Below are 15459 nucleotides of genomic sequence, written 5' to 3' on the forward strand. Positions count from 1 at the left end.
TCAGCTCAGGGGACGGCGACGACACAGGCCCCCGCAGAGGGGCTCAGCTCAGGGGACGGCGACGACACAGGCCCCCGCAGAGGGGCTCAGCTCAGGGGACGGCGCCGACACAGGCCCCCGCAGAGGGGCGCAGCTGACGGGACGGCGCCGACACAGGCCCCCGCAGAGGGGTTCAGCTCAGGGGACGGCGACGACACAGGCCCCCGCAGAGGGGTTCAGCTCAGGGGACGGCGACGACACAGGCCCCCGCAGAGGGGTTCAGCTCAGGGGACGGCGACGACACAGGCCCCCGCAGAGGGGTTCAGCTCAGGGGACGGCGCCGACACAGGCCCCCGCAGAGGGGTTCAGCTGACGGGACGGCGCCGACACAGGCCCCCGCAGAGGGGTTCAGCTGACGGGACGGCGCCGACACAGGCCCCCGCAGAGGGGTTCAGCTGACGGGACGGCGCCGACACAGGCTCCCCGCAGAGGGGCGCGGCTCAGGGGACGGCGACGACACAGGCCCCCGCAGAGGGGCTCGGCTGACGGGACGGCGACGACACAGGCCCCCGCAGAGGGGTTCAGCTCAGGGGACGGCGACGACACAGGCTCCCCGCAGAGGGGCTCGGCTGACGGGACGGCGACGACACAGGCCCCCGCAGAGGGGCGCGGCTGACGGGACGGCGACGACACAGGCCCCCGCAGAGGGGTTCAGCTGAGGGGACGGCGCCGACACAGGCTCCCCGCAGAGGGGCGCGGCTCAGGGGACGGCGACGACACAGGCCCCCGCAGAGGGGCTCGGCTGACGGGACGGCGACGACACAGGCCCCCGCAGAGGGGTTCAGCTCAGGGGACGGCGACGACACAGGCTCCCCGCAGAGGGGCTCGGCTGACGGGACGGCGACGACACAGGCCCCCGCAGAGGGGCGCGGCTGACGGGACGGCGCCGACACAGGCCCCCGCAGAGGGGTTCAGCTCAGGGGACGGCGACGACACAGGCCCCCGCAGAGGGGTTCAGCTCAGGGGACGGCGACGACACAGGCCCCCGCAGAGGGGTTCAGCTCAGGGGACGGCGACGACACAGGCCCCCGCAGAGGGGTTCAGCTCAGGGGACGGCGACGACACAGGCCCCCGCAGAGGGGCGCGGCTGAGGGGACGGCGCCGACACAGGCCCCCGCAGGGGGGTTCAGCTGAGGGGACGGCGCCGACACAGGCCCCCGCAGAGGGGCGCAGCCGCATTTCCATGTGGCCCCAGCAGCCCCGGGCTGGGTTGGAGGACTCGAGACTCTTGTGTGCCTGCCCCGTACAAGAAGAACAACAACAGAGGGCGCCCCGTGTGCAGGGCTTGGCTCCCAGAGTGCCAGGTCCGCTTGCCTGCAGCATGCCCGGTGAAGCAGGTGCTGCTCCTGCACTATTTTACAGGTGAGGGGACAGCCCTGGGCCACCTCTGTGACCCGAGTCACCGAGGTGCAGTGTGTGACTGGAGGGTCCTCTCTGTCCCTGATAACAAGACACTGAGCTCTTACTCTAGCAGAGCTGGGCCAGGAGCCCTTAGGCAACAAGGCGACCCCTCCCAGGATGAGGCTTTATTTCACATACTTTAAAGATTACCCAATAGCTTATAATTCGCTGACTAAAAGCATACAAGTTTGCTAAGACAATAACTAAATATCACCCACGTAGTCTCCAGGGGAGGAGGAATCGCTGAAAAATACCATCAATAAAAGTTAAAAACTGAAAGGATAGGTCTAACAGTGAAATAGTTTCCAGTTTTCAACACTTCTCTTTAAGAAAGCATACTGTAAAAATGAGAGAAAAAAAGATCTTGACTAGAAGGCATTTGCCAGTCATAGAACTTACAAAAAATTGTATCCAGAAAAACAAAACTCTGTAAATCAATATGAAAAAGACAAGCAACCCATATTTTTTGTTTGAAGAAGGATATAAGGTTGTTTGCCCATTCCTGAGCCAATGTAATGCTGTCTTAATAAATGGTTGATAATAAATCCTGGCATCTGCTGTGGTCTTCACCACACTCATCCTGGCCATTATTGATCGTTTATACCTCCTTGTAAAATTCAGGACAGCCTGTTCATTTCTATTTTTAAAAATCCTATTGGGATTCTGATTGGAATTGTATTACATTTATAAATAATTTTTGGAACTTATCTTCAAAGAAACAACAAAGGTTTCACAGCTGACTTTCAGTGAAACCATGGGAGCCAAAAGAAGATTGAATGGCATCTCAGCAGTGGTGAAAGGAGAGAAAGCTGCCAGCCCCGAGTCTGTGCTCACAGAAGCACCCCAGACAGGAAGAAGAAGTAAAGCCAGCCCGCAGTCCTGTGCTCACAGAAGCACCCCAGACACGAAGGAAAAGTGAAGGCATTTTTGGAGAAACCAAGGCAGATCTGCACCACAAGACATAACCAGGGCATTCTTAGGCTGAAGGAAACAGCCCCGGGTGAAACCACAGAGAAGAGCCTGCCGAGGGGCGGGAGAGTGGGTGACGTCACGCGATAAAGCAGCGCCTCAGTCCATGGGGACATGAGACAGGCGTCCCCATCATCGTCACAGCCAGTGGCACAAAACAGGGAGGGAGAGAGACTAGAGACAATGGGGAAAATAGAACGGGCCTGGAGATCCCAATGGGAAGTGAAGGGTCTTCGGGGTCACAATCGTATTCTCTCTGGTTTTGGTGTCTAACGGAAAACCCCATAATAAACTGCCAAACTCACTTAATGAGCCACCACTTCAGACTCATCATATTGGAAAACATTTTAAAATCTAAGAATGAACACCCAGGCCATGCAGAGAATGCCCAGAACAAGAGAGAGAGAGAGAGAGCAGTGGACAGAAGACTCAAGCAGGCAAGTCCCAGGAACATCTGTAAAGATGAGAATGAACACCCAGGCCATGCAGAGAATGCCCAGAACAAGAGAGAGAGAGAGCAGTGGACGGAAGACTCAAGCTGGCAAGTCACAGGAGCATCCGTAAAGACAAGAATGGGTTCATTAGTGATGGGAAGATGCAAACTAAAACGTAAAACCCACGAGACACCATAGAATACCCACAATTCAGACCTGCTGGCACCAAGAGCAGTGTGCAGCGTGGTGTGGAGGCTCCCACACTGAGGACGGGAATCGGTGATGCCCCTTGAGCTGGGCAGGATCTACTCAGGTCCAAGGCTCACACGTCCAGCGACCCCAGCTGCTAGTGACCCTCGCACACACAACAGGCCATAAACAGGAACCCATGGCCCCCACGGCCGCTAGCAGGAGGCAGGACATGGCTCCATGGCTCAGGGAAGCCAGGAGACAGCACCAGTGCCTGCCCAGCCCACCTGCCCTCCAGCTGCCGCCCGTGTGGGCCTGCACCCCTGCAACACTCGCCTGTGGCTGAGGGGCTGCCTCTCTGAGGGGCCTGGGAGCGAGGTTGCTGCAGCTATCTTCCGCCAGCAGCCAGGAGGCCTCTGCAGCCCTGCTGGACCCCTGGAGAGTACATCCCGGAGAGAGCGTGGCTGCAGGCAGAGCCCTACGCTCCCCTCCCGCGGTTGCTGTTGTCTGAACAGCCACGCCCGTAGCAATGGTTCAGGGGTTCCTGGGGCCTTTTCCCCCTGGGTCTTCCGCCTGTCTTTCGGGGTCGAGAGAGCTGTACTCGGGCAAGCCCCACCATCCTGCACTCACAGCAGAGCCCTGGGGCCTCCTATCTGCACCCAGCCCTGAAGCTGTTGTCTCTGGCTGCAGCCCTCCTGGAAGCCACAGCCTTTCCCCCTTTCCCTATCCCGAAGCTCTTTCACCACTTCCAGGCCACCCTCCCTTCCTCTTTCCTAAACCCTGGGTCATCGCGACACTGCCCCCGCATCCCCGTGACAGGGCATCCCCTCCTCTCTCTAGGGTTTCAGTTCCTGGCTCAAAGCAGCTCTCCACATCGACCCGTGCCTCGATTACTGGCAACTTCAAAATGTGCACAGAGCCCCCCTTGAACTTGGCTTCTCAGATCTCTGAGCCCCTCCAGGGGTCCTGTCCTCCACCTGCCCGGCCCCTTGCCCCACATTCACAGCCCAGACACATCGCGGCAGCTCCCGCACCCCCCTCACCCCGGGGGGGCCTTCTGCCCCCTCAGCACCGTGAGCTGGCCCTACCGCCCCTGGCCCTCCTGGTGCCTCCTGCGCCTGCTGCTCTCCCGTTTCTCCTCTCCATCATGTCAGCAGCCCTTTTGCAAACAGACCCTTGGTCTGTTGGGGCCTCTCAGGCATGGCACAGGCTCACCTGTGGGTGTCTTTGCAATGGCAAAGCACCCACCTCCATTTCCATACCCGCCCCTCCCACTGACCCGCATTCCCAGTCGACCCACCGCTGCCTGAGGGTCAGCGGTCCTAACATTTAGAAAGGGCCACGTGGTGCCCAGTGTCCAGGTGGGGCTGGAGCCAGGTCCTCAGCCCCCAGACCCCTTCCTCCTCCCACCCTGGCCCCAGGCTGACCAGTCCTGAGTGCAGACACCGGTGCCACAGGGACATCCCAGCTGGGCGAATTCTTTTTGTAAAGAGGAGGTCCTCAGAATCAGCTCTAACTGTCATGCCCTCTTTGTTTATCTTCATCGTAGTCGCAGCCCTTGCTGGGTGGTCAGTTCTTTGTTAAGGTTGATACTGAGCCCCAAATCTGATTTGCCCCAAGAGATGAATGATTTTCTCTGCAGTTACTGGGCGGCTTTCTTAGGACTAGAGAATGGTGAGTGGTTGACATTAATCTCCGCAAACTCAAAATAAAAATGGAAACAAATGTACCAAGAGCTGCAAGGCAACGGCTGACCCACCCCCCACATGGGATCACAACCTCTGGTGGCCATCTGTGCACACCCAGGTGGGGCCAGGCCCCGGGGCCCTCTCTGATGGCAGCCGACGGGCTCCCTCGGGCCTGCGCAGTGCAGCCTGGACGGCGTGGGCTTAGGTGGCCATTTCACCACAAAGTCCCTTCAAAGGCTCAACAGGTTTTGAGGCATAGCCTCCCTCCTCCAGACCCCGCTGGCCGGCCGTGTGGAATGAGAGCTGAGGGTGTCTGGTCTCTCAGGGGCATCGGGGAGGGAGGCCCAGCGATGGCCTCGGTGATCCATTTGCCGCAAGAGGACCAGCGCTTACTCGAAGAAGATTTAAAACACACAAGGAACCGTGAAACCAAACCAGAAAAGCCCTGCTGACCGAGCCGCCCCTTCTAGAGGCCGAACAGGCATGGAAACCCTGAGCCGACACAGGCACTTACCCAGCAGAGAGGACAGGGCCACCAGGATCCACATGGCCACAAAGAAGGGGGTGTGCACGGGTAGCCACCGCAGGCTGACCACTGGAAACCCGCTGCTGTTCCGGGCAACGGGGGGCTCTGGCCCTGGGCCCCGGCCAACGAGTGTGCAGGGATGGGCTGTGCCCACCAGCAAGGCCAGCAACGTGAAGGCACAGAGTCCAGACCCCTGGGGCTGCATGCTGGGGGCACGTGCCGCCGACAAGGCGCTGTGTATCCGCCGGGCTCTTCTCGACTTCGTGGACCTGGTATCTGCAGGGAGCCACCTCGTTGGTCCCCGGTGAGCCCTAGAGCTGTGCCAGTTCTTCCTGCCTCACCCCAGCACCTTCCCTCTGCTGACCACAGCCCAGCCTTGTCCTGGGCAGCCTGTGGCCTCCAGGCCGTCAGCAGATAAGCATTCCGTGTGGCTAGAGGGCCTTCCTGGGAGCTGGACCTCCCCAGCGGGAGTTCAAAGCCCTTGCCCATTTTCCTGGTCTGGGAACAGAAGCGGCCCGCCCATCCCCTCTATGAGATTAGGTTCTACCTATCATGTAAAATAAAAGCTGATGAAGAAACAGGGTTTAATTGGTTTCTTATCAGGTGTTTCGTCCTTGTTTGGAATTCTGTGTGGATGGGGGAGCCATGGGATTACACCCAATAAGGTCACCTGCAGATCAGCAGTGCGGCCCCCGTGGGGTCCGCACCCAGGCGTGTGCTCACCTGCAGATCAGCAGTGTGGCCCCCGTGGGGTCTGCTCCCGGGCATGTGCTCACCTGCAGATCAGCAGTGCGGCCCCCGTGGGGTCTGCTCCCGGGTGTGTGCTCATCTGCAGATCAGCAGTGCGGCCCCCGTGGGGTCTGCACCCAGGCGTGTGCTCACCTGCAGATTAGCAGTGCGGCCCCCGTGGGGTCTGCACCCAGGCGTGTGCTCTGCACCCAGGCGTGTGCTCACCTGCAGATTAGCAGTGCGGCCCCCGTGGGGTCTGCACCCAGGCGTGTGCTCCACAAAGCCCCCTCTGGCTTCAAGGCAGCACTGGGTCCTTTGCCCCGGACCCTCCTGCTGTTCCCACGTCTCCTCTGGCTCCTGAGCCTCACCTCCACTGGCTCCTGAGAGGCTCTTCCTCCCGCACACCTGTGCCCAGGTGGCCTTGCCCACTGCAGGTGCAAAGCCCCTACCTTAGCATCGGAGACCCCAAGGCTGGTGGGGGTGGGGTGTCCTGCATAGTCAGCCCCAGCCTGGGGCAGGAGGCCGGGGCCTGGTGTGGCCTTGCGGGGAATCAGAGCCCTTGCCGGCAAGGGCTGTCCACACAGCAGGGGAGCCGAGCCCAGGCCAGAAGGGAAGGGCATCTCCAGCAGGGGATGGTCACCTAAGGGGATGGTCACCTAAGGGGATTGATCCACGATGCAAATGTGTCAGAGGCCTTGGGAGCTGGTCTTACTGTCAGAGTTTCAGATTTTGAAAAGAGAAAACTGTCACAAACTCTGACTTGGATTCGGTTTGGAGGCATCTGTGTGAATTTAGGATTTGCAAAACGAATAGGAGTGTATAGAAATAAATACGGCCTGCCTCCACGTCTTCAGGTTCCGCACCACAGATTCAACCGAGGATCAAAGATACTTGGAAAAGAATAAAAAATAACAATATAGAAAAAATACAAATAAAAATAACAACACAGTGTAACAACTATTTACATAGCATTTCCATTGTATTCGGTACAATGAATAATCCAGGGATGATTTAAAGTACCGGGAGGATGTGTGCAGGTTACTTGCAAATCCGACATCATTTTACATCAGGAACTTGAGCTCCTGCAGGTGGGTTAAACTCGGGGGTCCTGGAACCCATCCCTTGAGGACTGCAAAAGACAAACATATGGGTGTCAATGACAGTCCCAAATCATAGACCCTGGAATAAAGCTGGAACCCACAAGCCCATCCTTACATGATAAAGATGCGGAAGACTTTAGGGGTCTTTTGCAGCCTCTCAAGGTGCCTCGTGACTGTGCTGGAGTAGACCAGTAACTGTACTGTGAAAATGCTTGACAGCAGCAGCTGACTCCACGCGGACCTGGAGCCGCGGCTGCGGGCAAGGGCACCTGCACACAGGGGTGTGCAGCACGGGAGAGGCTGAGCTGTGCCTCGGATGCTCCTGCCACAGGCTCATAGCTTGGTCCTGTCTCGAAGAAACTCCTGACACACCCCAGAATGAATGAGGGTCTTCACCCAATAAGTGCCCCGCAACCATCTCGGGAGAAAAAGAGGCCAAGCCGCAGAGGACCATGCTTGGTTTCAATTGGACAGCTGGATTCGCTCCGAGGGCTCTGAGGTCAGCAGGTGGCCACCAGTCAAGCCGATGTCCTGACCTGGGAGTACGCAGGACAAGGAGGCACCGAGTCAGCAACAGACCCCTAGATGGTCAGAGAGATATTCCCGTGCTACTCTTGACACCTTTCTGTAAAAGAAAAAATTCAAATAATACATTACTTAAATAAATTAAAAGTTTATATTAAAAAATACACACAACTTCTGCTTCCAGCTACAATATAGAAAGTCTCAAGAGCCTATTTTCACCAACAACCTAAACAAGCCACATAAGCTATAAATTCACAATAAAAAAAAAAACCCGCCAGAAAGCTGAGGATACATAGACACCCGATTGAATTAAGCCACCAGAAGTGAGGAGCCCCCAGGGGAAGGGTGTGGCTGATCACTGGCCCGGAGACAATGGGGTCTGAAAACGAAAAGGCGGCTTCTGCAAGCTGACGAAACCAGACACCACCAATAAACAAAACCCAAATCCACAAACCCAGAATTTTATACAGAACAAAAACGTCCTTCAAACATGAAGGGTAAATACAGATATTGTCAGACGATAAAAAGCATTTGTTGCCAGCAGAATTCGAGTGTGGAAATCATAAAGGAAAATGTTCAGCTGAAGGAGAACGACCTTGGGCTGGGAACAGGGAAGGGCCGAGTCCTTATGCGGCAAATTCAGCACTGGCAATTACTGACTTGCTGAAGCGAGCTTGTCCTCCTCTTGACCTGTGGGCCACATGTGGCCCAGGATGGCTTTGAATGCGGCCCAAGACACATTTGTAAACTTTCCTTAAAACATAATGAGATTTTTTTTGTGATTTTTTTTTTCTTTTAGCTCATCAGCTATCGTGTTAGTGTGTTTTATGTGTGGCCCAAGACAATTCTTCTTCTTCCAATGTGGCCAAGGGAAGCCAAAAGATTGGACACCCCTGGGCTAAAGGAACTTCAGTGACAGTGCTGGGTTGTCATGTGACGTTTGTACGATGCCAACAGCAGAGATGGTAGAAGGGTGAACGGGCGTGAGCCATCCTCTCCGGCACGGCTAGTCTTCCCTGACACCGTAACGCTAGTGAGGAATCGCTAGGATGACTAAAGACTTCAAATCTACATGAAGGAAACTTTAAAATGCGACTGAGAGGGCCAGAAATAAGTGACCAAATCTAAGGGTATAGAATACCTGGACAGAAAGACTTTCTTCAGAAAGATCAAGTTACAGCTGACTCATTCTGTGGATTTAAGGTCCCAATAAATGGTCCAAAAGAATATTTTTAAACTATACCAACTCTTTTTGATGTTTAAATAGGCAAAACAAAGGAGTTTCTGGCTAAACAGATCATAGGCAGGGTGCCCCGGAAGAGAAGCAGCTGTGGGGGTCCGCCTTGTCACATTCAGGCCCGTTACGGAAACAAGTGCCTCCTTGGTTCAGGCTGCAGAGGGGAATGAATGTCTAGAGGAAGACCCCAAAACACCAAGACTTTGGGATATGACCAAGGCATCATTTCAAGTTAGTTGAGAAGACATGGTGGGAGACAGGGTTTGTTCTGTTTGTATAAAACAAAGAGAAATCGTGTGTACTCCTGACAGCTCTGGAAGGGCCCGTGGCGACCCCAGGGCCGACTGTTCTGGGAGGGAGCTGTGTGGCCAGGAGACCCATTCATGTCTCCTTTCTATTACATGCGTGCGTTGTTACACGTTAAAAAACGAACAAACAAAAAACCCAAAACAACAACAACAACAACAACAAACAAGTGCAACGTGACTTTTTAAAGCTGGGCCTGAGAGCCCCAGGGAGAGCCGGGCCTGGGTGCCCAGCAGGACCCTGAGCTGCAGAGCCGGCCAGCGGCTGGGGGGCCGTTCTCCCTCCCGGACCCTGTGCATCCTCCAGAGCAGGAGCCTCCCTAGTTTCTCCTGCAGCTTCTAATCCTGGCGCCTGGCATGGAAATCGTCCAGCGACAGGCGGGGCCCCTGCTGCTGCTGGTGAGATGGTGTTTACGATGCTATTGAAACGCCCAGATCCTGGCCAGGATCTGAGAGGCCAGAGGCCCCTCCCCACCTCCCGGGGTCTACCCAGGTGGGAAGGGAGCAGAGGGGGCTGGCGTGGAGCCACATGCAGCCCGGCGGTGTTTGACCCTGAGTGCTGAGATCCTTCATGAGTCCGGGCTCCACTTTCATCAGAGGGCACCGTCCTCCAAGAGAGCTCCCCCACGCGGGGCTTTATGGAGGGTCTATAAAGGTGACCCCTGTTCCTCGTCAAGGACTTCTTTTTCTTTCTTTTGTTTTGCTCCTAGTATATTCCTGGTGTGTGCATCTGTCACCACAGTGCATTTTAGAACATTTCATGCCCCCCACCCCCTGCCTCAGCATTCACCTCCTCCCACCTCCCCAGCCCCCAGCCAATTTGAACTCATTGCTGATGGGTGTGTACTTAGGAGTAGATTTTGTACAATCTATTGATGACTTCCATTCCTCCAAGATGCATTTATTCTCCTCAGCCACGTAAAAAAAATTTCCCCTTCCCATAATGTTGTTTCACCTAAAAGGAGTAAGATACTAATTCAGCCTTAAGTGGCCTTTATTTATCCCTTCAAGATGAGCAGTTATTCCGATTAGACTGGAAAATAGTAACCAGAAATATTAGGCCAACTGCATTCTAAATAGTGTATTTTTGGTCTTAGGAACAGGTAGGGTATCCCCTTAAGAGGCCTGGCTTTTGCCTAATAACATTGAAAAAAGGAGACCCTGGGGTCTGCGTGGTGATCAGACTGACAGCCAACTTCTCACCCACAGCAACAGAGGTCAGGAAGCAATGCAACAGCAGCCTCCACGTGTGAAGGGCAGGTGACACCAACACCGGACTGTCAGTGCAGAGGGCAGGTGACGCCAACACCGGACGGTCAGTGCGGAGGGCAGGTGACGCCAACACCGGACGGTCAGTGCGGAGGGCAGGTGACGCCAACACCGGACTGTCAGTGAAAGCGTCATTCCAGCGTGCAGTAAAATAAAGGCACTTGGGACACATACAGACCAAAAAGGAGACACAAAACTCACAGACCATCCCTGAAATAAGTACGAGACATGCCCTTCACCAAGGAAAGAGACCCCAGGAGGAAGGCATGGAACAAAAGGAGCAAAGACATGCAGAGAAAACCCAGCAAGGCGATCAGCAAACATAAACAGCCATTGGTTATTTTATGAAGAACACTTGGGCCACAGGAAAACAGCATGGGGAGTTTTCCCCTAGAAACAGCAAGATGGCTTGTATCAGAACAACCCTCCTGTGAACAATAATTATAAGCTCTGGAAAAACTATAAAACACTACTGGAAGTGAATGGAGAGCAAACAGAGATGGCAGAGACTCAGTGTGGTAGCCTTTGAAAGCAGGAACTGCAATGGGTGAGCTTCACGCACAGCTCACACCTGAGGGTGTGCCCTGGTCACCTAGCTGGGGGTGTTGTCAGCAGAGCACTGCAGTCTCTCTGGCTGGACACATAGGAGGCCAGAGAAGGAAGGTTAGAACCCCAAAAGGAGGGAGGGTGGAACCCCAAAAGGAGGGAGCCACAGATGACAGGGCCCTCAGCATTGTGTGTAAATTGCATCTCAATCCTGTCCTGGACTGAGCACCCTGGGGGAGATGTTGAGGGTCCCTGCAGAGAGGCAGCAGCTACTGCCACAAGGGAAGGTGGGACGTGGTCACAGTGCACAGGCACGTGGCCTGCAAGGGCGAGAGTGACATCTTCCAGCACAGAAAATGTAAGCCAGAGTCTCTGTGTCGTATTGACAACAACAGTCATATACTGTGGCTGACAAAAAAGCATCCAAACATGAAAAGAAACAGGAAAATGTGACCTACATCTGAAAGAAACAGCAGTCAACAGAAGTGTGCCTCAAGATAATGAAAGATGATAAAATTAGAAGACAGACTCTTTAATATGTTCAGGGAATTAAAGGAAAATATAGTCACAATGAATGAACAGAGAATCTCAATAGAGAGATGGCAGTCATCTTTTAAAAGAACCCATGAGAGGAAAATAAAATCTCAGGACCTGAAGCTCATGGTGCTCAAGGGAAAGTAAAGCTTGGGAGTGGATTCTCATGGAAACCACTGTCCTTTAGTTCCCAGAGAGACAGCGGTGATTTCCTGTGCTCTCTTTATCTCACATAAAACTCAGACTCACTGGGCACTGATCAGAGTCTCACAGAACACAGCCATGTGCCTCACTACCCACCCCCCTCTTTTTTTCTTTCTGTCCTGTCTGCTCTTTCCCTTTCAATACTGAAATTCCCCAAACTCTCTTCATAAACATCGCAGGACACAGACCCCAGAGGGACTCGTGTTTCTTTTTCCTGGGCATGTCCTCAACCTTGCTAAATAAACCTCTAGTTGATTGGGACCTGTCTCAGGCAGGTTTCCCAAACCAAAAGGAAATTCTGGAACTGGAAAGCACCACAGACCATACAATGGGTCATAAGATAAATCTCAAATGTTTCCAATAATTGAAATCACAGAGATGACATTCTCTGATCACAATGGAGTTAAAAGAGAAATCAATAATAATCATACATCTGGGGAAAAACACAAATATTTGCAAATTAAAGAAAACATCTAAATAACCTATGGGTCAAAAGAACCACAGGAGAAATTTGAAAATATTTCAAACAAATGATAGTGAGCACAAAACATATAAAAATCTGTAAGATTGTGTCTGGAGTTGGTTCCTTCCAGTGGGGTCTTTGTCTCACTGACTTCAAGAATGAAGCTGCGGACCTTTGCGGTGAGTGTTACCGCTCTTAAAGATGGTTTGTTCAGAATTTGTTCCTTCAGATGTGTCTGGAGTTTCTTCCTTCCGGTGGCTTCATGGTCTCGCTGACTTCAATAATGAAGCTGCGGACCTCTGCAGTGAGTGTTACAGCTCTTAAAGGTGGTGCGGACCCAATGAGTGAGCAGCACCAAGACTTATTGTGAAGAGTGAAAGAACAAAGCTTCCACAGTGTGGAAGGGGACCCGAATGAGTTGTTGCTGCTGGCTGGGGTGGCCAGCTTTTATTCCCTTGTTTGTCCCTGCCCACATCCTGCTAATTGGTCCATGTTATAGAGCGCTGATTGGTCCATTTTACAGAGCGCTGATTGGTCCATTTTACAGAGTGTTGATTGGTGCATTTACAATCCTTTAGCTAGACCCACAGTGCTGATTGGTGCATTTTTACAGAGTGCTGATTGGTGCATTTACAGTCCTTTAGCTAGACACAAGGCTGACAGGTGTGTTTTTACAGAGTGCTGATTGGTGCATTTACAACCCTTTAGCTAGATACAGAGTGCTGATTGGTGCATTTTTATAGAGTGCTGATTGGTGCACTTACAGTCCTTTAGCTAGACACAGAGCACTGATTTGGTGTTTGTTTACAATCCTCTAGCTAGACAGAAAAGTTCTCCAAGTCCCTACTCGACCCAGGAAGTCCAGCTGCTTCTCCTCTCAAGATGAGCTAAAAATAAGTTTAGAGGGGAGATAATAGCTGTAAGTGCTCACATTAGAAAAAAGATTTTCAAAGAAACGATCTAAGATTCCACTTTAAGAAGTTTTAAAAAGGTGAGCAAATTAAATCCAAAATAAGAGGGGACTAGAAGGAAAAAAATTATAAAGATGAGATACTAATGAATTATAAAACAAATAGAGAAGTCAATAAAGACAAAAGTTGTTTTTTGAAAAGGTTAATAAAACTGATAAAACTCTGACAAGACTGATCAAAGGAAAACTGCAATAATCAATTATCAATGCCAGGAGAAAAGAGATGACATCATTACAGACCCTACAGATGTTAACAGGAAATATCATAACATAACAAATGATTTTCTGCTGATAAATTTGAGAGCTTATGTAATAAATTTTTCTGAAAATAAAACTTACCAAAATTGACACAAAGTGGAATAGAAAACTTGAATATTCCCATATCTATTCAATAAATGAACTTGTTATTGAAAACTTTTCCAGAAAGACAACTCCAGAGCTAGATGATTTCAATGATGAATTTTATCAAATAGTCGATGAAACAACATAATGCAAATATTTAATAAAACATTTCAAAACTTGGGAGAAGGAAACAGAAGAGAACCATTCCTAGCTTTTTTATGAGGCCAGCTTAACTCTGATGTCAAAACCTGGCAAAGACATTATAAGATATGAAAATTACAGATCAGCATCCCTCATAAAGATAGATCCAAAAAACTGTAAACAAATTACTAGCAAACTGAACCCACAAACTTATAAAAAAAGATAATACATCATGACAAAGTAGGGTTTTTCCAGGAATGCAAGATGAGTTTGGTGTCTGAAAACCAAACCAATGTAACTCACCATATTGATGGAATAAAGGAGTAACCATATGAAACATCAATAGGAGCAGAAAGAGCTTCTAACGAAATTCAAAATCCATGTAAGATAGAAGCTCTTGGAAATCTAAGGCATCATGTAAAACCTACACCCACATCATACACAATGGTAAGATGCCAGGCACTTCTCCCCTAAGACCAGGGAGAAGGCAAGGAAGTGTACTCCATCTCCACAACACCTCTTACCCCAGGTTGTAGCCGGACAACAAAGGAAGGGAGAAAAAAGAAGAAAGATTGGTGGGGAGAAAGTAAAATTATCTCTAATCACAGATGATGCAATTATTTACAAGGAAAATTTTAAGGAGTCTTCAGAACTACTGGAACGAATGTGAGATTCACAGGGTCTCAGAACATAAGATCAGTAAACAAAAATCAGTTCTGTATCTATATACTAGCAGCAAATAATCTGAAAATAAAAATTTAAATTATTCAGTTTATAATACCATCAAAACCATAAAATACTTATGACTGAATTTAGCAAACGACATTATCTATAAAATGTCGCTGAAAGAAATTAAAGAGCTGAATAAATGGAGAGACAGCCTTCACGGATAAAAACATTCATTACGGTTATGATGTCAAGTTCTGCCCAGATTCAATTACATTTTCCACGCAATCCCAAATCCGATCCCAGCAGGTCTGAGATGAAGCTGGGGTGAGGGTGAGCAGAGAAGGGCTGAGTCCAGGATGGGGAGTGTCAGGGGACCTTGATTTTTAAAAACCAGTCCTTTGAGAAGAACAGCTCATGGTGCCAGGCAGCGTTGTAGCTCATCACGGCTCAGCCTGGCACATCAGGACTGTGGCCACCACCCTCACATAAGGACGCCGAGGCACCGAGAGGTCATGTGACCTGGCCAGAGCCGCACAGCCAGATGGAGGCTGAGCTATGCGGGGATGCCACAGTGTGCTGACTCCACACACACAAACGCCACCACTTACATTTTTATTTCCCCGTCACTGTCTTGTTTCTCAAAGGACTTGAGGCTCATAGCAGCACAGGTTCCTTAAGGAGGCTCATAGCAGTATAGGTAGGCAGCTGTGTTGAGCTCTCAGGGTGGAGAAAGCCTGGCTGATCTCCACCTGTGGCCTCTCTGTAAAGATCCAGGGTCCTCGGGGTGGCTGTGGCAGCATCTGAGACAGCCCTGGTGTGGGCTGCCTCAGATGCTGGCCTTGGCTCGGGGGTGATCCTGGCCTTGGCTCGGGGTGTGGTTCTGGGTGCTCCCTCCACAGCCCTCTTCTTGATGTGGCTTCAACCTGCCCCGTCCGGGTTTGGCCCCAGCTTCCCGTGAGCTCCAGGGTAATCCCTGTGCCGGCTATGATAGGGACATCTGACCTAGTGGCCTCCAAGTCCTCCCCTGCCCCAGGACTCCTCACTCAGTTCCGGGGAGCGCCGTGCGCCCTGTGCCTCCAGGCTGAGCAGAGTCGTTTGCTTGTAGGTGGCCTCGACCCTGTCTGGAGCTCCCTAACAGCAGCGGGGCCACAGCCCGGTTGTTCCCTCACACCCAAGGCA

General features: G+C 52.0%; 1 long non-coding RNA gene across 1 annotated transcript, besides 2 other annotated features; it reads right to left on the reverse strand.

Moving 5' to 3' along the window:
* Positions 5597-6186: an enhancer, noted in NCBI's record as "H3K4me1 hESC enhancer chr5:570349-570938 (GRCh37/hg19 assembly coordinates)". NCBI's record gives its function as "activates a minimal SCP1, AML or CMV promoter by ChIP-STARR-seq in naive H9 embryonic stem cells {active_cell/tissue: H9 hESC(naive)}" and the evidence as "EXISTENCE:reporter gene assay evidence [ECO:0000049][PMID:30033119]".
* Positions 6187-6774: an enhancer, noted in NCBI's record as "H3K4me1 hESC enhancer chr5:570939-571526 (GRCh37/hg19 assembly coordinates)". NCBI's record gives its function as "activates a minimal SCP1, AML or CMV promoter by ChIP-STARR-seq in naive H9 embryonic stem cells {active_cell/tissue: H9 hESC(naive)}" and the evidence as "EXISTENCE:reporter gene assay evidence [ECO:0000049][PMID:30033119]".
* On the reverse strand, positions 6407-12436 carry LOC105374607 (uncharacterized). Its single transcript, XR_925671.1, has 3 exons — positions 12331-12436; positions 7191-7700; positions 6407-7104 (listed from the first exon to the last, which is right to left on the reverse strand). It is a non-coding gene; the product is annotated as an uncharacterized LOC105374607 (long non-coding RNA).
* Between the last annotated feature and the right edge of the window lie 3023 nt (positions 12437-15459).

Source organism: Homo sapiens, chromosome 5 (genome assembly GCF_000001405.40).
Source record: "Homo sapiens chromosome 5, GRCh38.p14 Primary Assembly".
Lineage (NCBI taxonomy): Eukaryota > Metazoa > Chordata > Mammalia > Primates > Hominidae > Homo > Homo sapiens.